Source organism: Homo sapiens, chromosome 18 (assembly GCF_000001405.40).
Source record: "Homo sapiens chromosome 18, GRCh38.p14 Primary Assembly".
In the NCBI taxonomy this organism is placed as follows: Eukaryota; Metazoa; Chordata; class Mammalia; order Primates; family Hominidae; genus Homo; species Homo sapiens.
Genome location: NC_000018.10, coordinates 45,391,627 through 45,416,805, shown reverse-complemented (window position 1 = coordinate 45,416,805; position 25,179 = coordinate 45,391,627). Strand labels below are relative to the sequence as shown.

The 25,179-nt window shown below is 39.3% G+C and overlaps 1 protein-coding gene and 1 long non-coding RNA gene across 6 annotated transcripts in view, besides 1 other annotated feature; one reads left to right on the top strand and one right to left on the bottom strand.

Moving 5' to 3' along the window:
• The window catches only part of SLC14A2 (solute carrier family 14 member 2), a 515,726-nt gene that overhangs the window by 266,883 nt on the left and 223,664 nt on the right, over nucleotides 1-25,179 (bottom strand). The gene's annotated exons all lie outside the window — the stretch shown is intronic.
• SLC14A2-AS1 (SLC14A2 antisense RNA 1) overlaps nucleotides 1-25,179 on the top strand; it is a 142,177-nt gene that overhangs the window by 90,258 nt on the left and 26,740 nt on the right. The gene's annotated exons all lie outside the window — the stretch shown is intronic.
• Nucleotides 13,390-14,589: an enhancer, noted in NCBI's record as "P300/CBP strongly-dependent group 1 enhancer chr18:42982182-42983381 (GRCh37/hg19 assembly coordinates)". NCBI's record gives its function as "activates an origin of replication core promoter dependent on BRD2, BRD4, P300/CBP, MED14 and CDK7 cofactors, with strong dependence on P300/CBP, by STARR-seq in HCT116 cells {active_cell/tissue: HCT116}" and the evidence as "EXISTENCE:reporter gene assay evidence [ECO:0000049][PMID:35650434]".

The window sequence follows — 25,179 nt, the reverse complement described above, 5'->3', positions numbered from 1 at the left end:
TATAAAGGTAATTTGAGAGAGGAAAAAACCTGCTGGTTTTGATGGCAGCTTAAAATATCTCTTATTTCTCATAAATAATACGGTAGTTAAATACCCATTTTACTTATATCATGTTAATGAGTTCTAGATGCCATTCCCAAATGCTCATCCTTCTCTCATTAAGCCTTCCCAATAATAGTGACAATAACAATAACAACAATGATCATATACAACAAAGACCAAAGATCACTGGAAAGTTTTCTTCCCCAAAGAGGAATTTTTGAATGGCTGCACTCTGCGCCTTGAATGCATTATGGTTAATTTCAGATTCCGAGGATGATTAACTCTGACTGGTGGAATAAAAGGCCACGACCAATTATTATTCAGAAAAATCCTGCTGTTTAGCCAAAGAGCGTACAGTGCAATCCAGTCCTTGATGTTCCTGTGATAAACGCTCACATGACAAGGTTATTTGGTGTAGAGCAGCCAGAGTGGTTGCTATGGCAACCTGTTCACAATGCTCATAAATCTGAGGTGTAGTTATCCTTGCTGTGTATGCAAAAAAAAAAAAAAAAAGGAAACAAAAAAGGAAACCTACAAAGCCAACTCAAGTGGTTTAATTTACAGTGCTGCCTTAAAAAAAGAAAAAAATAGGCAAATGAATTCTAAGATAATAGACCTCTCCATATTATATTCTTTCACAATACAGGCACTTAGGACTCAAACGCTCTCTTCAACGCCAAAAAGACTTTTAAGATAATCATTATGGTAGAGAATATAGGTCATCATTAGCACCAGGAGTGACAAAAATAAAAGAGGTGGTTAGAAATTCGAGTTTGCCAGCATCAATTGTTTTCCCTTGGCGCAGTTAGCAATGCAAACAGCTGTTGACAGCACATCAGGACAGGTACATCGATGGGGAACAAATGGCTTTTTCAGTCGCTGCTTCCCAGAAATGATGGGCTGTAAGTCTAACAGGCCAAAGGTCAAGCAGACAATGATGAAATATCCCCCACAGACCCAATGTCAGGTGGTTCGATGTTAAGATCGCTGTGATATGGTCTCTCAGCCTTGATTTCAGCTCCACTCAGCCCCATTAGAAATAAGGGCAGCCTATTAAACCAGCAGGTAGCAAGGCTTTTCTCATTTCGGGTATAAGCTCCCTGGCCACCTGGCTTTTTGACCCCCTGTGGTTTATTTCAACCATTATCAGTTTTCTAAATAAAAATTGGGGAACAGTTGAGCCCATTGAAGTGGTAATTCTTTAACACTTGGAAATGTGAGAGCCATTGGCTCTGCAGTCATCAAGAATGACAGAGAAGTCTAATATGATAATGGCCTGGTTCAAATTAAGACTAATATTTGACTTATGCCATCAGATAGTGAAGATGGCTCGATTACAGAGCTTTGATGGGGAAATTCATTATGTCATCAAGTCCCAGGGTATACACACATACTGGGACACTCCAAGAGTACAAGAAATGACACATTTGTTTGAGCAATACAGAAGTGCTCAGTCGTATAAAATTGGAGAGAATGAGGATAGAAACACACCCCCTGACCCCAGGTCTCAATTCTGATCCAAAGCATGTTTCTTTACTAGTCTGCAGTAAAGAGTAACTACAAGACTTGGGGGCTTCCAGCAACCTGCACGAAAGGTCAAGAATATCCTGACCAAGAAATTTTTGGTAGCTACATACCTGGCTCATGTCAGGGTTAGCAAGTATATACACAATTTATAAAAATTTGCTTCACTTAAATTTTCCAGCATGTCTAAAATTCTCAAAATAACCTTTTTGGTTTAAGATACAGCATCTCCTTTAAAAAAGCAGGCACCCTTGTAATTTGGAGAGGTTAAACATGTAGACTTTCATGCAAAGAAGCTGATCGGACTCTGCTGAAAATAAATTAACACACTGGGCACTTAGTATGTGAGGAGCTCTGAAAGGAGAGAAGGGAAGGCTGGGGAATTACAAAAGTTACTTGCCTCTGAGACTATGAGATCCTTGAGGGCATGAACTGTACTTTTCTATATATATATATATATATATATATATATATATATATATTTTTTTTTTTTTTACGCTCGGTGCCTTGCACCGCACCTGGCATGTGAAAAGGCCCACTGTATCCTAGATGAATTGATGCAATTATAAAATTATTTGAAAGAAGACTAACTTTCCTCTGAAAAAGTGGATTGCATGAATGCCCAAATATTCTTTTTTTTTTTAAGTTCTGGATTACATGTGCAGAATGTTCAGTTTTGTTACATAGGTATACACGTACCAAAATATTCTAATTCAGATTCTGTTGGATACATGGATGGATAGGTAGGAAGAGAGAAGAGACTGATGAGAGAGGGAAGAAGGACTTTTCTCCCTTTTAAATTGTTGGGTACTTCAGAAGAGTCCCCTGTTCCCAAACAGTTCATTATTCTAGAATTCCAAAAATCATGGAAGATTCTGAGTGTGCCATTATTATTTAGCTAGGGCCACTTCCCAGCTGAGAATCACCCAAGGTGAGGTTTTAGTTGAACTTCATGCACTGTACCTCAGCTCAGTCCAGCAATTGTGCATGTTGAGTGCCAGGCTTGACATCCATGCCTGGAGTGGCACACTTTTCTCTTGGCCAGGTCAAAGCTCATTCACCACCCATATGATAATAAATCAGAGTTTTCCAAGACTGACTTGCTCCATTTGCAGTAAATAATAAATTATGCAGGTCCTTATTCTCACAATACTCCACAGCAAGGAATGATTCATGTCCCTATTTGGTAATACTGATGTGGACTTTCTTTAATTGAATACTTTTTTTGTACGAGGCACAGGTCTCATTCTTCAAATATAGACCTCCACGTGATTTTCTTTTTTTTTTACGCTCTATTAGTATACCTGTGGGGGTTTTCACTCACATAATATTTACCTGTATGATCTCATTTGATCTTCACAAAACACCTAACAAGCAGGCACTATGGTTACCTTATTTTATACGTGAGATAACTGTGGCTTAGGTACCAAGTTAAGTACTTTTCCTAAAGTCATACAGCTAGCATGATAAGTTAGTAGAAATGGGATCCAAACTGTTGCTTCAGAACTCCACACATTAACTACCATGGCTCAGCACTGGCAGAAAGAGAATTTCTGATCAACTTGCCAAACAACAATGCTGGAGCTCAAGAAGCCATGTTTCGTAAGACAGTGGAATTTCAAATCTACAATGTTGCCATGACCTTATAATTCTGACTGCTCCTTCTTAAGCAGGGAGAGGAAAGAGTGCCACACTGAAAGTCAGGAACTAGGGTCTGAGTCCAGATGAGGAGAAAGAAGAAAGAAAACGGAGCTGAAGAATGCCAAAATAGTATCACTGCTTGAATATATTAGTTTTAACTCAAGCACTCTTTGATGGAACCACCTTCATTGGCCTCCTCATCATATTGCAACACAACCCTACAAGTATCTCTACAATTTTACTGTCTCAGCAGGAGGCCCTATTGCTTAAAAGAAAAAAAGTCCTTTTCTGGATGTAGAAACAATTGAGTTTCTTGTTACTAAAGGGAGGAGATTCTCCGCAACAAATTTGCTTAAGAAAACCTCCCGATGCCCTTTCTCTGTAGATCTGTAGATAACATGATAGCATTAGATAACATAAGCTACTCTGTGTAATTATCTTTTTATACATAAGCATTGGCTCCCCTCCTGGACCATAAGCTTCTTTCGGATGGACCCTAGGTTCTATTTGTCTTTATCTTCTCCCTAATGATTGACAAAAAGCATTTCAGAAAAACAACAGTAATGAAAAACGGACAACCTTAAGATGGTTTCTGATTTCAAGAAACCAGATTCTTTGAAAACAAATCTGGTCCCCGCACTTTTGCTTTCTCTTGAAAAACCAGAAGATCTGGTGACACTTGTCCCAAATTCTTGCATGGAGATGAGCAGTAGCTATTCCCTTCAGTTAGGGCTTGCCACACTTCCACCCTGTCACCTCCACTTACTTAGACCACCTGCCTGGCCATATGAGCATTTGGTTGTGAGAACCCCACAACAAAGAGGTGAGAAACAGGAAAGGGCAAGTCCCTATGACTCAGCCTTACAGCATTCTTCTACCATCTCAGGGGTGGCTGCTGTGATACAGCTCATCCACCATGATGTGTGCTAGTGACTTCTGTCCCACTTGAGTACACTTTATCTATCTTACTGTTTACCCCCAGAGAGAAGGGGTCCTCATGGCAAGAATATTTCAAGGGACTGAGGAGAAGCAGATGATTCCTCTGGGGGGTGAGGTTCTGGGCTGGCTCTAGAAGTGATGATGAAAGCAGGCACATGAGCCCTTGCTCCTGTGAAAGTCCCCAGTTTGAGCCAAGAATATCAGCCAACCTGGCAGGACCACAGGTTGCATTTAGGAATATAAGTTAGAAGACCTGAAACTTTCCTGTTTTCTCTCTTCTCAGTTCTAGTGACTGCTAATTTACTAGTTATTAGGTCAAAGAGTTAAGCAATGAAAAGCACGGTGAACAAAAATACCTATGGGAGGTACACTGATTTCCCAGGATAAAACATTGTTCACTGTGGAAAAAAATCCCCACAATACTATGACCTTGTAAAATCTCCCAGCAAAGCTGTCACCCCATGAATAAGACCTTGGCCTTACTCTGCAATCTTCATTCAGTTGTTCAGCAGCTTATGCCAGGCAAGTCTTGAGGCAGTGGGAGATGCAACAGCAAACTAACAACAACAAAATACTTGGTTCCTGCTTTTAGGGGCATATGCTTCATTTGGGGAGACAGATACTGATTAAATAAGTGCCAGGATGGAAGGAGAAAGGAATCCTATGGACGGATTCAGACTTTTTCTTGGTTGGGAGTGCATGTGTTCATGGAGGAGAGGGTGTCTCCAGGGAAAGCTTCCTTGAAATACTGGAGTTTCAGGATACTGGCTGATACTGACTCAATCATCCATGACATCTGTTCTGGTGCTCTTCACAGAGTAGGTGCTGCGGACCTTTGTACCAGGGGATCCCACCAAGACCACCATATTAACTGCTCCTCATCTCTAAGGTCAAGCATCTCATCTTCTGGTGGCTTTATCTGACATTCACTGTTCTTCCCTGGCTGAGTGGTCCTCAGTGGCCTTCCCATATTTTCCTCTCAGCTCACTACACATGTGGTAATTGTAAGCCAAGGACTTATCATCTTTATTACCTGTGCATCGGAAACTGGGTGTATGTTTTGGGTGAATGTTGAGTGGATAGCGATCTAGAAGAAAAGAGAGATGGCACGGTTTGCACTTTGGGTGGCTTGAGGGAGCTGAATCTGTGTGATATGGGGAAGACTCAAATCTGTTTTGTGCTCACAAAGGTGAAAAACGATATCCCTTCACTGTGCTTCTGTTGTATAATTTCCTTCACTAGAGTTTTTAACAAAATAAAGTTTTATTTCTAAGGCTAATTCCTTTGTGTCCTAAGACTGAGTTGATGAGATTCCATTTATCTTAATAAAAGCAAAGGAACTAATTTAAATTAGCAATTTCTGGTGAGATTACCAGGCTAAATACAAAAGCACTGGATAAATTTACACATTAAGCTCCTGTGTAGTCCATGTCTAGCACTTAATCACACACACACACATAGCACACAGAGTCAGTTCTCAATGTTTGCAATCATTATGTTTTATAAAGTTGCTGCAAACACTGAATTAGTGAATTCTGAACTATTGCTCGTAAGGGAATACAGGGTTAGGTTCCTGCAAGCTTCTTATCACATCATTGTTGCCAATCAATACATAATCTTGCTTTATGTGTGTTTCTGTTTAAAGTATAAGAGTGTAGTTAAAGTATAAGAAAAATAGAACCTAGGGTCCATCTGAAAGAAGTTTATGGTCCTGGATGGGGAGCTAATGCTTATGTATAAACAGATAATTATACACAGTAGCTTGTGTTATCTAATGCTATCACGTCATCTACAGATCTACAGAGAAAGGGCACTGGGAGGTTTTCTTAAGCGAGGAAGTCTGCCAATGCAAGAAGGCAGAGCATAGCTTTATTTATCTCAGCTGGAAATGTGCACATCAGGTGACTCAAAGTTTTCACCACTCTGCACATGTCTGTGGAAACACTGGATTATTGATTTGGGGGTCACAAATACATTTTAGGGAGTAGGCTAATTTGTAAATATGGAATCCACAAACAATGATGATCAACTGTATATATAATATAGAGAAATACACCTGTATACTTAAGTATATTCCTCAGTGCTGTAGCTGGCTGTAGTGAGTGCCCAATAAACAGTTTTTACATAAATAAGATTTGTTATTCAATATAGTAGAAAAATAAAACATTTTAAGAGAGAGTTTATATATATATCATATGAGGTTAGGCAGTAACGCATATTTAGTAGTAAATGCTACTAAACCTAATTTAATTTTTTGATAATGCACCTCATAGATTTATATTAAGACCATCCCAAATGACCTGCCCATGAAAGTTTATGAAGTTTGCTTAAAGTAAAACAAGTTATCTAGAACAAGAGTCCCTGACCCCTGGGTCATAGACTGGTACTGGTCTGTGGCCTGTTAGAAACCGGACCACACAGCAGAAGATGAGCGGCGGGCAAGTGAGTGAAGCTTCATCTGTATTGACAGCCACTCCCCATCACTTGCATTACCACCTGAGCTCCGCCTCCTGTCAGATCAGCAGCGGCATTAGATTCTCATAGGAGCGTGAGCCCTGTTGTGAACTGTGCATGGGAGGGCTCCAGGTTGTGTGCTCCTTATGAGAATCTAATTCCTGATGATCTGTCACTGTCTCCCATCACCACCCGCTGCCCCCCAGCATAGGACCAACTAGTTACAGGAAAACAAGCTTAGGGATCCCACTGATTCTACATTACGGTGAATTGTATAATTATTTCAATATATATCACAATGTAATAATAATAGAAATAAAGTACACAATAAATGTAATGTGCTTGAATCATCCTAAAACCACCCTCCAACCCCGGTCTGTGGAAAAATTATCTTCCACACAACCAGTCCCTGATGCCTAAAAGGTTGTGGACTGTTGCTCTAGAATATACTCCTCATGCTGATTTAGAATAAAACAAAAGCACAAATCATTTTTTACTTGATCTTTTTGCTTCTTCATTTTCATCTAAGGACCATCCTGTAAACTGTCTTCTGGGAAAGGGGTGGGTAGGAGGAAAGCTCCCCAGGAGGCTCAGTGGTTGGGTTGATTTTGAGAGGGGAAATGTCGTCTTGTGAAACTTTACGGTTTTCTGTTTTATTTTCACTATCAAAGTTATAAAAGGGTTTAATAATACTTTGGGGAGTGAAGAATTATGGATGCCAAAAGGTTTGCTAATAAATATCTTGCTTTATATTTAGAAAAATACAGACTCAAGAATGAAGATTACGGTAGGCAGAGAAGAAGGGAAGGAAGGTAGAGAGATGACGGAGTAGCCGTAGGCATTGACATGACCCCCAGAACCAATTTTCAGTGGCCCAGGGTGAAAATAATAAAAACAAGAATAGTAGCTCACACATACATCACACTCTCTTGCTCTCATCTAAAATATCTTGCTTAGTACTCATAACAGCTCCTTGCAGTAGATTATGTCTACATTTTAAGAATGAGAACCTGGAGACTCAGATGCATTTGTTGACTTCTAGGATCTCAATTCTAGCAGCAGAGTAGAAAGCAGGACTTGTCAGTCCAAGTCCAGGGCTCTTCTACTTCTCCTTGGGGGGCTGCAACTGGACAGCTGGAGCTCTCAGACAAATGTTTGACACACAGAAGTTAAAAGGTATGTGAACGGTCCAAGAAACTGAGCCAATCCCAGATTGCATTTTGTTAAGTTCACAGGCTCAGAGCATTGGTTAATAAAACGACTGTTGTGCTCAATGTACACCTCTCATTTTTAAGATAAGAAATTCAAGGCCCAGAGAGGTAAAGTAATATACACAAAGTCACACAGCTAGTTGGTCATAGAACCTGGTCTTGAACTCATGTATCCATATTCTGGGTCCTCTTTTTGTCAGCCTTACATTATTTCTACTCTCATCACACTCTTTTTCTCACACTTTCAACAGCTTCAACAATTTTGAATTTTCACGATGTAGTTTCAAATACATGGTGTGGGGAAATCCTCTCTGTGGTCCACAGATAAGAATTGCAGACTTCCCCGCTGTATTAATTAATGGCCTCATTAATCCACATTTAACTGTTCAATTAAATGTTTAATGTAACACTTAGAGGTGCCATCAATTACCACGTGAGAAGCAACTCTTGGAGATCCCAGGCTGGAAGCTGCTATGTACATGTGCAAAATTGCTGTCATTCAGACACACCATGTCATCTCATGGTACTCTATTCAGGGAAGGTGTGTTACAGTTCCAGCTTCACTCAGGGTGGATTAAATCAGTGTGTTGGAGAAGAATTGAATTAAATGCTTTGCTGTAATGACTCACATCCTCACAAGTACCACTCATTAATTGTAGGTGCTACATGACATGAATGTTCTAGGGGATAGCAAATATAATATTTTGAATGCTTTTCTTTCCCAGAATTACCCCAGAGAGAGAGAAAAATGATCTCAGTGGTGGTTACTGAAAACATATGCCAGCTTGATTTCCCCAGCAATGATATGAACAGTGAAGAACAAAGCATTTGTACCTCAGCTCAAAGAAAGGCGGCCCGATTTCCACCAAATGGATTTCAACCTGACTTAGGTATTACAGGCATACCTTGTTTGATTGCACTTCACAGATATTACATTGTTTGCAAATTGAAGGTTTGTGGCAACCCTGCCTTGAACAAGTCTGCTGGCACCATTTTTTTCCAACAGCATGCACTCACTTCATGTCTCTGTGTTACAGTTTGGTAATTATTACAATATTCCAGACTGTTCCATTACCATTATATCTGTTATGGTGATCTGTGATCAGTGATCTTTGATATTACTGTTGTAATTGTTTGGAAGTGCCATGAACAGCACCCAAATAGGATTGTGAACTTAATTGATAAATGTTGTGTGTGTTCTGGCTGCTCCACTGATGGCCATTTCCTCACCTCTCTCTCTCCTTGGCCTCCTTAATCCCTGAGATACAACAGTATTGAAATTAGGCCAATTAAGGACCCTACAATGGCCTCTAAGTATTCAAGTAAAATAGAGTTATATGCCTCTCACTTTAAATAAACAGCTAGACATGATTAAGTTTTTGAGGATGGCGTGTCAAAGGCCAAGACAGGCTGAAAGCTAGGATTCTTGAGCCAGTTAGCCAAGTTGTAAATGCAAAGGAAAAGTTCTTGAAGGACATTAAAGATGCTACTCCAGTGAACCCACGAATGATAAGAAAGCAAAACATTCTTATTGCTGATATGAAGAAAGTTTGAGAGGTCTAGATAGAAGATCAACCCAGCCACAACATTCCCTTAAGCTGAAGCCTAATCCAGAGAAAAGCTCTAACACTTCAATTCTATGAAAGCTGAGAAAGGTGAGGAAACTTCAGAGGAAAAGTTTGAAGCTAGAAGAGGTTAGGTCATGAGGCTTAAGAAAAACTGTCTCCATAGTATTAAAGTGCAAGGTAAAGCAGCAAGTGCTGACGCAGAAGCTGCAGCATATTTTCCAGAAGATCTAGCCAAGATCATTGATGAAGGTGGATACACTAAACAACAGATTTTCATGGTAATGAAACAGCCTTATATTGGGAGAAGATGCCATCTAGGACTTTCATAGCTCAGGAGGAGAAGTCAATGTCTGGCTTCAAAGCTTCAAAGGACAGGGTGACTCTCTTGTTAGGGGCTAATGCAGCTGATGAATTTCAATGGAAGCCAATGCTCATTTACCACTGTGAAAATCCCAGGGCCCTTAAGAATTATGCTAAATCAACTATGCCTATGCTCTATCAGTGGAACTACAAAGCCTAAATGATAGCTCATCTGTTTACGTTATGGTTGAATGAATATTTTAAGCCCACTGTTGAGACTTACTGCTCAGAAAAAAAAAAGATTACTTTCAAAATATTATTGCTTATTAACAATGTATCTAGTCACTCAAGAACTCTGATGGAGATGTACAAGGAGATTAATATTGTTTCCATGCCAACAATGGATGTTGTGTTAGTAGGGATGGATACAATATTATGGATCAAGGAGTTATGGATCAAGGAGTAATTGTGACTTTCAAGTTTTATTATTTAAGAAATATGTTTGGTAAAGCTATAGCTTCCACAGATAGTGATTCCTCTGTTGGATCTGGGCAAAGTAAAAAAAAACCTTCTGGAGAGGATTCACTGTTCTAGATGCCATTAAGAACATTTATGATTCATGGGAAGAGGCCAAAATTACAACATTAACAGGTGTTTGGAGGACATTGATTCAAACTCTTATGGATGACTTTGAGGAGTTCAAGACTTTAGTGGAGGAAGTTACTGCAGATGTGGTAGAATTGTAACAGAACTAGAATTAGAAGTGGAGACTGAAGATGTGACTGAATTGCTGCAATCTCATGATCAAATTTTAACAAATGAGGAGTTGCTTCTTATGAATGAGAAAAGAAAGTGGTTCCTTGAGATGGAATCTACTCCTAGTGGAGATACTGTGAACATAGTTGAAATGACAGTAAAGGATTTAGAATATTTCATAAACTTAGTTAATAAAGCAGTGGCAGGGTTTTAGAGAATTGGCTCCAATTTTGAAAGAAGTTCTACTGTGAGTGAAATACTATCAAATAGCATCACATACTGTAGAAAAATTCTCTTATGAGAACAACAGTCTATTGATACAGCAAAGTTCACTGTTGTCTTATTTTAAGAAACTTACATGTCCACCTCAACCTTCAGCAACCATCAACATTGAGGCAAGACCATCTACCAGTAAAAAAAATTACAACTCGCTGAAGCTTAGATGACTGTTAGCATTTTTTTTTTTTTTTTTTCGAGATGGAGTCTCCCTGTCGCACAGGCTGGAGTGCAGTGGCGAGATTTCAGCTCACTGCAACCTCCATCTTCTGGGTTCAAGCAATTCTCCTGCCTCAGCCTCCCCAGTAGCTGGGATTACAGGTGTGTGCCACAATGCCCAGCTAATTTTTTTGTATTTTTACTAGAGACAGGGTTTCACCATGAGGCTGGTCTCAAACTCCTGATCTCAAAAGATCCACCTGCCTCGGCCTCCCAAAGCGCTGGAATTACAGGCAAGAGCCACCACACCCGGCCAATTGATAGCATGATTTAGCAATAAAGTATTTTTAAATTAAGGTATGTACATCTTTTTTTAAGACACAATGCTATTGCACACTTAATAGACTACAATATAGTATAATATAACTTTCATATGCACTGGGAAACCAAGCACTTCAGGCGACTTGCTTTAATGTGATACTCACTTTATTGTGGTCACCTGGAACAATTTTGGTTCCTCTGTTCCTCCTGCTGACTTCTGTTTCAGCACTAAGCACACGGAGACTCCTGACTGAGGTACATAGTGCCTAGATTCTCCTTTTGTTTCAATCCTTTGCTACTTGAACCTCTCCTGGCTTAGTTTGCCAACTTGCTCTGTTCTTTTCCCTGTGCTTTTTGGATATCAGAACTCCAAAGATGGTCCCCAGTCTTCTTTTGTCTTTTGTTCTTGGAGCTGTTCCCTCCACATTCTCAGACGGCTCTCCTGCCCTGGGGAGTGTTCTGCAACTTCCCAGACTCTGTCTAGAAAATGACTGGAGGGCTTCTTTCAAGGTAAGCACGTTACCATGGAGTTGCAAAATGCCACAACTAGTAGGGACATGGATCTTCTAATTTAGAATTTTTCAAGTTACATGCTGGAGAGCCCTAGAAGTTCCATGTGGAAGTGCCTTGAGGACTTTGCACCTCAGGGCAGTGCTGGTGGCACTGAGAACAAGGCTGAATAAGGAGCCCTCTTCACCCTCAAACACTGCAACCCTGCTTTGTTCTGTTTTATATACTGGGCCTCTGTGCAAGATTTTGTTCCAATGCTGAGAAAACAAGATTGACAAACACCAATCCAGTTGTACTTTCTCCACACACAGAAGACTGGTTAAAGCATAAAGAGGAAAGTGACCTTCCCAAGGACACTCTGCTCATCAGTGACCAGATCAAGTGGAACTCCAGTTTCAGGCTTCTTTCCATTATACCAGTGGTTCCCACCCTGGAAGCCCTGGAGAGCATCACAGAAATATCTGGGGTCTGTCCTTGAGAGACTGACTCACTAGCGATGGGGGTATGTGCCTTGGGAAGATGTGATAATATTTTGAATCATAAGTTTCTCAGGAGATTCTGATAGATTTGAGAATTATTGCATTATGCCATCTAACCTTCAAGCTTCCCATTCTAGCAGGTATGAAGTAACATAAGGGAGACACTTCATTACTAATGGGAAGAAGGAAGGAAAGGGGGGAAGTCAGGAGTCATTCAAATTCCCTGAGCCCTCAAGACCATTAATTGTCTTACACAGGTGGGTACTGCAGTGGCGTTTGATTTATGGATCAAAAATATAGCCTTACTATTACATAATACAAAAATTTCTATCATAGTACATTAGGCTCGTTAATCCATAGTATACCTGGCATTGTGCTAGACAGTAAGAACCCAAGGATAAATGAGTTATCCCATAACTAAAGGAGGGAGACAGACAAGTTTATGGACACATATAACACTGAGGTAAGGTTCAGATGGAAAGCAATGGGAGCCCAGAAAGTGGGAGAACCTCTCAAATTGGGAAGAGGTAATAGAGTTTTAATGCCCAAACTCAGTTAACCAGCTAAAGATGGGTTCCTTCCAGGCAGTGGGAACAGTGTGATAAAAGACACAAATGCATGGAAAAGCTTTAGGTATTCTGAAAGCTGCAAGATGCTTGGTGTGGACAGAGATATAGGGAGAAAGGAGTCATTGCCAAAATGGGAGGTGCTGGAAGGGTTGAATACAGTCAAGTCACAGAAGTGCTTGTCCTTTATCTTACGGGTGATGAGGAGTCACTGAGGCATCTTAAGCAGGGGAGCTAGGTGATGCAATCTGACTCATAGAATGTCCACTCATTTATTCATTCATTCATTCATTCATTCATCACTGATTAAATTGTTACTCTGTGCCAGAACCTGTTTCTGATACTGGGGATAGAAAGAAGAATAGATACAGCATTTTTTTTTTCCCCAGAGTTACAGGGTGAATTAGGCCAAGACCATGAACTAGGCCATGGAGCATCCAATTAAGTCCTGCCTGTTGCCATGCTCCATCTGTGCCACTGCACAAGCCCTCCAGCCAGCTCACATGAGGAGGAGTGGCCAGGCAGGCAGTACACTCAGAGGCAACCCAAAGCAAAAGTCTGAGAGGCACCACTGTGTCCATGGCCCACAGCGATGGAGCACCATTGTTGTCTCTAAGCAATTATTGCTATTACTAGCTTAAAAATTTTAAATGAGGTTCTATGGTAGAATTAAATTATTATTCCATGTTATGGACTAAATTTTGTGCTCTTAAAATTCCTGTATTGAAGCCCTAATCCCCAGTGTGACTGTATCTGAAGATAGAGCCTTTAAGGAGGTAATTAATGAGGTCATAAGGGTGGACCCCTAATCTGATAGGACTGGTGTCTTTATAAGAAGAGGAAAAGCCACCAAAGATCTATCTCTCCTCATGCACAGAAGAAAGAACATACGAGGACATGGTGAGAAGGCAGCTATCTGAAAGCCGAGAAGGGAGTCTTCACCAGAAACTAACCCTGTTGGGACCTTAATCTTGGATTTCCAGCCTCAGAACTGTGAGAAAATAAAATTTTGTTGTTTAAGCCACCCAGTCTGTAATAATTTGTTAAGGCAGCTCTAGCAGATCAGTACATCCTGTTAGGTGATACTGAAGTGCCTTACTAATAATAAGATGGTATTTAACAACTGGAAGTTGAGGTAGAACATTCCTAGTAGTGTGCACAGGCATGACGAAGCTTTAGTCACCACTCTCTGAAATGATTCATACCTGTGATAGAAACTGAATTTCATTTAAGATGATTAAGTCTTGCTACAGCTTCACTATTCTAGATTCATCCAAGAGATCTGACTCTGGTCTCAACTCTGTCACTAACTAGCTGTGCCAACTCCTCCCAGTAATTCAGATTCTTTTCTTATAAACCAAAATGGCAGGTGGGGTTGGGGTGGAGGGGAGTGGCTAAATCCTCACAAAGTCCTTTAGAGTGCCAAGGCACAATGATTTTATGATTCTTTTCCTTCTAGTCTCCTGGATAGATATTTCAATGTTGACAAGATCTACTGGGACATTCGCCAGATAAACACACAAATGGTATAGTTATCTAGAAGTGGCCCACTTGCAATAAACCTGATTAGGAAAAGAAATGGACAATTAATTTCAGGCAAACAATAAAAATGTATGAAAATTAAAGATGTAGAGTAATAATGACAGCGATGAGGGCTGGCTCTGCCTTTATTAGCGTCTTTTGTGTTCTTTTATGAAACGTCTATTATCGGCGAACTGGCTGATTATTCTCTCATAATTACTTCATACGGAATAATTAAATAAAATGCAGACAATAATCTTTTATAGACAATTACAAAGAGAAACTTTTTTTTGCAGGAGGAAAGGAAGGGAGGGGTGCTGGGTGAGAAGGCTGGAATATGATTCCTCATTCCTGGACTTTCTGGGGGTTCCCCTGACAGTGCCCAGTTCTCTATTAAGACCTCCAAAGGAACTGTGGGCCTCTGTCTTACGTGCTCAGTACCCGTATCATCACTTCTTTGGCTAGAGGGGGATTTGGCTTCCTGGTAGGAGGGGAAGCTTCGGCAGATTTTACAAAGCAACTCTTAATCCAAATATTCACCTCTAAAGCCTTGTTCTTTGTCTTTGGCCATCTGGGGATGTCAACGCAGTTACCTTAACAGGGTCTGAAGCAGACAGGTCCAGATTTAACTCCCTCTTATTTAAACTATAATCTGGGAATGATTACTGACATATACCTCTTCCTCATCAAGCATATCTAATGTATCACCAGTGGTCTTAGGGAGTGTATCTCCAGAATATTTCCTACATCTTCTACCATTACGTTACTGCCACCACCATAGTTGACCCTCCTCCTCTCAGGCCCCTGAAACAACTTCTGTATAAGTATCCCTACTAAATTTTTTGCCCCAAATAATTATTTCTCCATTTAGTAAATAGTGCAATATTTGAAAAACGTAAGATAGATTAGGCCACTTTTGTGTTTGAAATCTTACAGGGACTTCCTTTTGCACTTATAATGAAATGCACCAAATTCTTTTGCTGAGCTGCAAAGCTCTGCCCTCATTTCCATCACTCTCCCATCCTCAGCCATCAGCTTCAGCCTCCTGACATTTCCAGCATGGCTGTGGCATTCTTAATCTTAGGGCCATTATGCATACTCCCCCTTTGCTTTTTCTTGGCTACTTTCTATGTTATCTTTCAGATTCATTAATGATGACAAGGATTTTCATTTGTTTTAGTCACCTAAAATAGTCCCTACCCTCATGGCACCTATTGTTTTGGGTGGGGGAGCATAATAAAGTAAATATATGAAAATATTCATAACATTATGTGCTGATAGTGATAGAAACAAATTAAAGCTGGAAAGAGAGATGTACTGTGGTGAGGGATGATGTCAGTGGTTGTAATTTTAAATAGTGTAAACAGGAAAGGCCTCATAAGGTGACATTTTAATGAAGACCTAACAGAAATGAGGAGTGAGCTCAGTCAACTGAGATCTTCCAAGCAGCAACACCCTAGAGGTTCTGAGTACACCTATCACCCAGATCTTAGCTTCTAAAGGCCCTTGCTCACTGAAAAGAACAAGGGATCCTTGGGAAATGGCTGACTACAGAGCTAAGGCAGAGAAAGTACAATTCAAATAAATTACTTAAAGAATGAGACAGCCAGATGAAAAGGACACAGGAGGAAGTTCGAAGGGGCTCCTTCTGGCCAAATCTAGGACACGTCCGAGCATCAAAGCAAATAATGATAGAAACAAGTTATGATCCATTGAATAAAAGGGAAATCCATGAGTAAGCATTGATATAAACAAACAAATGAATTAAAAACATGGGGAGAAAATAAAGCTCTTACCTACAGCAGAATGACAATAACTGTAGAAGGAATGATGGAATTAGAAAATTATCATTTGGCAACTATCATAATAATAATTAACTCAGGCAAGAAACATTGATGGATAATAAAACTAGTGGGTGACAGTGGGGTTAATGGAAGAGATCTCAAAGTATCTCCACAGAAAATATTTAGTAAGTGCAAAGGGGAAAATTAACTTTAATATAAGTGGAGAAAGTGGAAGATGCCACCTAAATCAACCGATCAAAGATACTATCAACATGAATGGGACAAACTAATATTTCTTGTCACCTTAGAGAATACCAATGAGAAGAACACAGCATTACTTCTGGAATATTTCTGACTGAAATCCATAACCTGGGTCTAATTATGAGAAAGGGTTGGGTCAACCCAAGTTGAGGGATATTCTACAAAATGACTGCCTTGTAATCGCAAAACACATCAAGAGTAGGAGACTCAAGTAAAGAGTGAAGGACTGTTTGAGATTGAGGGAAATCAGAGAGATGTGACAACTAACTATAATCCATGATTCTGAATTGGTCTCTTTTGCTGTAAAAAAACATCAATGGAGCATTTAGTGTAACTTGATTGGGGTCTCTGTGTGAGGAGTGTACGATATGTCCTTATCCTGTTCTTGCAACTTTTTTTGTAAGTTTGAACTTGTCTCAAATAATATTACACTTAAAAAAGTATACTCTAAACTTCCATGCTTTAACAATTGCCAGTGACAAGCTCCCTGGAACACAAATTGCAACTGCCTGTGATATGGCCATGAGTGGTGATAAGACAGTTCATTGCCTCACGTCTGAAGGACCTTTGGGGCCACAGCCAAGTGTGATGAGGATGAGGAAGAAGAAAAGAAGGAAGAGGGGGTTGATGGGGTGGCTTTGTCCCTTGGCTCTTGGTACTAACTCTCATTTGCAAATTCCTCTCCAGGAATAGTAGCATGATCAGAACCCTTTTAACTCCAAATGTAATCTCACCAGTTGTCTTCCTGTGTGGTTGGCAGTGTGTGGGTGGCAGCAAATAGAAGAAAGATCTGAAAAAGTAGAAAGAAATAGATACAAATGGAAAAAAACATCCCACCATAATATGTATTCTTCCTTCTCCCCCTACAACCCTAAAACAGAATAATAAAAGGGAAAAAAATCAGCCACTACCAGGAAATTTCCCAGGTTCTTGTGGGCCAAGGAGAAGGCAAGCAAAGTAGCATTTCACCCACATGACCTTCTTATCAATGGACCCCAGCTAGACTGCCTACATCCAGAATATTTATAAGGCTCTAGGAAGGTGTTCAGAACTGGAGACAAACTCAAACCCTGCCTCTTAGAGAAGTGTGGCAGTGGCTTCAAGGGCTGCATTCCTTCTGTGGGCTCAAGTGCCCACAATCTCACGCTCAGCACTGCAAGCTTGCCTCTTGAAGCACCTCAACTAAGGCCTAGGGAATGTGCCCAGTTGCCTAAAGTCCAAGGTTATCTTTAAAATCTGGAATGGTAGTTTGCTCTACCAGGTGTAGCATAAACTCAGAAGCCAGACTGCCTGGGTTCAAATTCTGACTCCAGCTCTCATCATCTGTGTGAACATGCGTTAGTTTCTTAACCTCTTTCTGCCTCAGTGTTCTCATCTCAATATTGGGGGCAATCATAGAATTTACTTCTTGAGATTGTTGTGAGGATGAAATGAGATGGAACTTAGCATCCAATAAGTGTCATTATACTATTTCTTTTTGGGCTAAGTATTTTTTATTTTGGTAAAAAACACATAATTTACCATTTTAATGTTTAAATGTTCGTTCGATGACATAAAGTATGTGTACGTTGTTGTGCAATCATTACTACCACCTATCTCCAGAACTTTTTCATCATCCTAAACTGATAGTCTGTACACATCGAACAATTACTATTTATTCTCTCTCTACACTTCCAGCTTCTGGCAACCACCATTCTACTTTCTGTCTCTGTGAGTTTGCGTGCTCTAAGTGCCCTAAGTTGGTTGGGTGGAGAGAGAATGAGAGAATGAATCATATAGCACTTATCCTTTTGGGGTTGACTGGCTTATTTCACTTAGCATAATGTCCTCAAGGTTAATCCAGGTTGCAGCGCGTGTCAGAGTTTCATTCCTTATTGTGGCTGAATACTATTTTATTATATGTATATAACCACAATTTGTTTATCCATTCATCTGTCAATTGAACATTTGGGTGGTTTCTATCCTTAAGCTATTATGAGTAATGCTGCCATAAACATTGGTGTACAAATATCTCCCTGAATCCCTGCTTTTAATTCTTTTGATTTTACTATTGTTTCATGCAAAACCTCTGCCTGCCCAATCCCTGCTGCTTTCTGATAATAACCTTGTCTGACTCCTGAGACAGCCTGGAAATAGTGCTGCCATCTTGTTTCCCTCAGGAATCTTAGCTTTCATTGTTTGATTTTGGTAGGAAATTAACAACTATCCTTGATCTCAGCCACACACTCAATGCTGAGAAAAAGGAAGAAGAGAAGTTGATGAAAAGGACAAGAGCTTTAGACTCAGAAAGAACACCATGAGAACCCTGGTTCTTTTATCTTAAGCTGTGTGGGCCTTGCCTCATTCATTTAGTCCCTCTGAGTCTCAGTTTTCCCATATATAAAGTAATTTCTATACATAAATATCGACTTTTTTTGTAAAAATTAACTGAGATTATATGTGTAAATTCCTGGCTTATAGTTGTCCCTCAATAAATATTACTTCCTAACCTCCTTGCTAGGATTAATGCAAAAAAGTGATGTAAACTGGCAGTTTCGTTATTTATTTATTTATTTATATCATAATCACATCATTACTCATACTTGAGGGCTTGTCATGGGCTGGGCACTGAACTAAGTTTTTTACATAATTTATTAAATTTTCTCGGTATCTCTTTGAAAAGGTAGGTACTATTGTTATCTCTAATGTGGAAACTATGACTTAGAGAGATTCATTATTTTGCTCAAATTTCCATAGCTAGTAAGTGGCAGAGTCAGGATTCAAATAAAGCAGGTTAACTCAAAAAGCAACTGCAACAAAAGCAAAAATTGACAAGAGGGATCTAATTAAACTTAAGAGCTTCTGCACAGCCAAAGAAACTATCAACAGCGTAAACAGACAACCTACAGAATGGGAGAAAATATTTGCAAACTATGCATCTGACAAAGGTCTAATATCCAACATCTATAAGGAACTAAACAAATTTACTAGAGAAAAACAAACAACCTCATTAAAAAGTGGGCAAAGGACATGAACAGACACTTTTCAAAGGAAGACATACATTCAGCCAACAAACATATGAAAAGAAAGTTCAACATCACTGAGCATTAGACAAATGCAAGTCAAAACCACACTGAGAAACCATCTCACACCAGTTAGAATGGTTACTATTAAAAAGTCAATAAAATCACAGATGTGGTCAAAGTTGTAGAGGAAAGGGAATACATATGGTGTTGGTGGAAGTGTAAATTACTTCAACCATTGTGGAAAGCAGTATGGCAATTCCTCAAAGAGCTACAAGCAGAACTACCATTCAACCCAGCAATCTCACTACTGGGTATATATCAGAGGAATATAAATCATTCTGCCATAAAGTCACATGCACATAAATGTTCATTGCTGCACTATTCACAATAGCAAAACACAGAATCAACCTAAATGCCCGTCAATGACAGACTGGATAAAGAAAATGTGGTACATAAACACCAAGGAATACTATGTCACCATAAAAAGAATGAGATCATGTCTTTTGTGGAAACATGGGTGGAGCTGGAGGCTAATACATTTAGCAAACTAAGGCAGGAACAGAAAACCAAATTCCACATTTATCACTTATAAGTGGGGGCTAAATGATGAGAACTCATGAACACAAAGGGAACAACAGACTCTGGGGTCTACTTGAGGGTGGAGGGTGGGAGGAAGGGGAGGAGCAGAAAAGGGAACTATTGGGTACTGGGCTTAATACCTGGGTGATGGAATAATCTATACAACAAACCCCCATGACACGAGGTTACCTATGTAACAAACCTTTGCATGTACCCCCGAACCTAAAATAAAAGTTAAAAAAAAAGAGGGAAAAAAGAGGGAAAAAAGAAAAAAAACAAAAACAAAAAAAAACCAGGTTGACTCCCAAGCTGTATTCATTACTTTCACACTCGAATACCTCTACAAATAAAGAAACAAATAAATGGAAAACCCCCCAAAATAAAAAATCATAGAAAGTGACAGAAAAGGGGAAGAATTTTGACATTTTTAAGTATGTGTTGACAAGTGGGGGAGCAATGTGGATAGTATAGTTGGGTGAATATGTATCTGAGTAAATGATTGACATAGGAGTATATGTTAACAGACCATTACAAAGATGGAGAAAAGTCTATAATAGAGTTCCATGGGACTCTGCCCTGGACATGCTCAGCAGTTTTATTTTACCAATAGCTTGTATGAAGTCATAGAAAGGATTGTGGGATCACACAGATCTGGGAAGACTAGCTATTGGATGACAAATAAGTCTCAGTATATGACAAAGATGAAGAATAAACAATATGCATTTTAATCAGGATAAACATAAAGATCTGAACTCAGGTAAAAAGAAAACTGCACAACTGGAATATGGATAAACTGATTTGCTAGAAGTTAAATGAAAAAAAGATTAAGAATGATTCATTTGACCAAAAAGGTTTTATACTCCAGTTGTGGGATATGCTAGCCAAACACCATATATTCCCTTAAGCCCTGCAATTAGTAGTATAGTGTTCAGGCAAAGATGAAGACCATTGCATTGATTTGATCACACCTGAAACGATGTGTTCAGTGCTAAGAGTCCTTCCCAAAGAAGGGCCTGAACAAACCAGTGTTTATATGGGTGAGGGCAGAGAGAATAGTTAGGGTGAAAAGAAATCTGAAAGGCACATCCCTCATGACCTGTTGTTGAGGTGGCCAAACCCCAGAGAAAAACTATTTAGCTTGGAGAGAAGATTTATAGGGACATAATGGGGTGGCAGTCCTGGCATACAGTAAGGGCAGGGCTCTGAGTGGGTGGGTAAAGTCTGTTATTTTTCTCTAACTGGCTTTGTGATTTGAGAAAGCCACCTTCTAAGTCTCATTTTTTTCATCTGTAAAACAAAACAAAAAAAAAGTTTGGATTAGATAAATGCTTTCTTTTTTATTATGTGGTAAAAACCCCACATATTAAAAAATCTACCTTCTTAACAAATTTGTCTGTGTACAGAACAGTTTTGTTAACTATATGCACCTTGTTGTGAAGCAGATCTCTAGAACTTTTTCATCTTGCATGACTGATATTCTATACCCATTGAACAGCAACTCCCATTCTACTCAGCCTCCAAATGGAGGCTTCCTCCAGACTCTGACAACCACCACTCTTCTTTCTGCTTCTCAGAGTTTGAATACTTTAGATAACTCATATAAATGGAATCACATAATGTTTGTCCTTCTGTGGCTGGCTTCTTTCATTTAGCATGTCTATAAAGCTCATCCATATTATAGCCTATGACAGGATTTTCTACTTTTTTAAAGCCAAGTAATATTCCATTGTATGTATATAACATTTTCCAAAAATCCATTCATCCATTGATGGACATTTAGGTTGTTTCCATCTCTTGGCTATTGTGAATAATGTTGCAATAAACATGAAAGCAAAAATATATTTTCAAGATCCTGATCTCAATTCTTTTTGGTCAGTACCCACCTGATTTCAATTCTTTTTGGCCAGTACCCACCTGATTTCAATTCTTTTTGGTAAGTACCCAAAAGTGTGATTGCTGGATCATATGGCAGGACTATCTTAATTTTTTTGAGGAGCCTGCATACTGATTTTCACAGTGACCGCACCATTTTACATTCCTACCAACAGTGAACAAGAGTTCCAATTTCAGCAAAGTAAACAATCAACAGAGTGAAAAAGCAACCTACAGAATGGGAGAAAATATTTGCAAACCATATATCTGATAAGAAGTTAATATCAAAAATACATAAGAAACTCCTACAACTCAACAACAACAACAAAAAACCCAAATAACTAGATTAAAAAATGGGCAAAAGCCTTGAATGGACATTTCTCTAAAGAAGACATAGAAATAGCCAACATGTATATGAAAATATACTCCATATCACTAATCATCAGGGAAACGCAAATCAAAATCACAGCACCTGACACCTGTTAGCATGGATGGCCATTATTTTTAAAAATAGACAATTTCTTAAAAGTTAATTTTTACTTTTATATTCTGTGACTCCAAAATTTAAAGTAACCAAAGCACTTCGAGTTTCAAAGAAAGCTACAAATTTCATATATATTTAATTTGTTGTGAAGCCTGATGGCTGGATTCAGAGTCTGTCTATTTTCAATTTACATACGATTTTAAGGAGCATGATTCTGTGATTTCCTGCACCCTAACAGATTATATAAAGGCAATTAAAAGGGTATAAGGATGTCCAAAGTAGTGAACTGATGACAATTCAAAGTGACTGCTGACAGCTTGATATACAAGAGAAGAATGAGAAAAACATAGAGGTGAGGATTGAAAGAATTTAATTTTGCAAACAATTGATTGGTCCCATGTAATACTTGGACTAACGAAAGTATCATTGCATCACAGTACAGCAAAGTAATCAATGTTCATAATATTTCTGGTTTCTTTAAGAGGGCAAATAAAATCCTGAGTTGCCCTAAGAGGGCAAACCTGAATGAATTCAGACCATCTGAAGGACAGAGTGGAGAGGGGTTAGGACCTTGGAGCCATTTAGACCTGAATCTGGATCCCATCTCCATCACTTACTAATGATGACGACTCAGGTGTCTGTTTCCTCTTCTGTGAAATAAGGATGATGATACCATAGAGGGATTTGGGGAGGATTTCAGAGAATCAGAGTCCCATATGTATATCCCATAGTGAGAACTCAGTGAGTGTTGGCTGCTGCTCTGAAAAGGGTAAGTCACTGGTAGAAAAATGGTAATTGTTGTGCATCCAGCCTGCAAAGCAGGCCAGAGCTATCCAAGAAGGAATGGGGAAGAGCAAGCAAGGTGCTTCCCCATATGGAGAAGGCCAATCCAGACTGGATGAACTGGGTCCACTCCTAGTGCTTGCGTTACTCTCAAGAGCTTCCAGCTCCCTCCCACCTTCTTGGGATAGTGATCTTTCAAAGGTTTTTGAGTATTTCCATGTGCCAGGCTTTGGGTTTCCATGATGCACAGGGATAATTTATGGTCACAATCCTTTCTGTAGAGAAAAATGAACTGGAACATGTTATCCTATTGAAGCAACTGAGGTGTCATGTCTCCCAGGAGTACATACACGTTATAAACTTGGGCTGGAGAGGACAAGGCTTTGATCAAGGGAATGAATCAACCACTGGCAAAAATTCAGGCATGGATTGACAGAGGGGGATGAGGCGTGTTTAGGCATTTGGGTCTTCCTGGACTCTTCTAAGTCACATCACTTCCCTATTCACACTCAGCTCCCAACATTTTATATACATATATCCTATTTTATTCATGCATCTTTTATTTTTATCTCTCTTAGATAATAAAACGTAAGCTCCTTTGGGATAAGCTTTTTGTCTTTCTGTTCACTACTGTAACAACATCCAGAACTCTACTGGAGACTTTTCTCCCTCTTTATAGTGGTCCACCAACCTATACTCTAAGGTCAATCACTTATTCAGATATAAAGTGTATAGTCATCTGAAATATTGGTTGTGATCATAGGCATAAAGTTAACTCTAAAAGCATATTAACAGATAAAACTGACATTAAACAATATGATCACATAAGGTATAAGGGGAGACGTTGAGAGTGGACAGGGAGTCCAGTCAAATTATTTTTTTGTAGAAAGAATGCTGAAGGAGCCTATGAAGAAAAACCTTTTCATGCTTTATCTTCATTTACTAAGAACTTACCACTTTGTTAAAAAGAACATAGATTAATTCACATTATTAGACAACAAATGTGCTCTTAAAACAAGTTAATTCCAACAATTTAAAGATTGAACTTCCTAGTTGTATATGTATTTTATTTCAAAGTGGGAATTTTAAATGACATATTTTTGCACTAAATATAGGTATATATGTATAGATGTTCAGATATAAAGTGTATAGTTACACAAAATGATAGCTTATTTTACCATTTTAGATAAGTGAAATCTTGATGTAAGCATGGTATATAACATCTAAAGCAAATAGCCATTTTAGCTAAAAATCTTTTAAAAATATGCTATTACATTCTGACCTGTTTTAAACAGAGCTATGGTGAAGGCTGGGTGAATATTATGTGCACTGATTACCATGCTGCACTGTGAGGGCAATGAGGCTTTCATTGGCCCAAGTATTCCATAAGCCCAGTTGACTATGTTTTAAAAATTCTCCTCCTTTCAAATATTTAGCAGTAAAAACTCACATAGATCAAACAAAATCAAACCCTTAGATACACAGTACAAAACCAGGCAAGCATAGGGGAGAAGCATGTGTGTTGGGGAGACCTCAGCAGCTGTCCTGAGGTTCTCTGGGGGGCCACAGTGGCCTTGGGTAGTTTGAGTGTCTTTCACTTTGCCCACTCCAAGGAGGTAATGCAGCACAGGGGTGAGGATTCTGAAGTGCTGATTCTGCTTTCACTACTTTCTGCGTGTCCCAGGACAAGTTATTAAACTTCTCTAGACATTGCTTACCTCATCTCTAAAACAGGTATAACAATATTGAGTGTCTCTGGACATAGGCATGGGCAAGGACTTCATGTCTAAAATACCAAAAGCAATGGCAACAAAAGCCAGAATTGACAAGTGGGATCTAATTAAACCAAAGAGCTTCTGCACAGCAAAAGAAACCACCATCAGAGTGAACAGGCAACCCACAAAATGGGAGAAAATGTTTGCAATCTACTCATCTGACAAACGGCTAGTATCCAGAATCTACAATGAACTCAAACAAATGTACAAGAAATAAACAAACAACCCCATCAAAAAGTGGGCGAAGGATATGAACAGACACTTCTCAAAAGAAGACATTTATACAGCCAAAAGACACATGAAAAAATGCTCATCATCACTGGCCATCAGAGAGATGCAAATCAAAACCACAATGAGATACCATCTCAC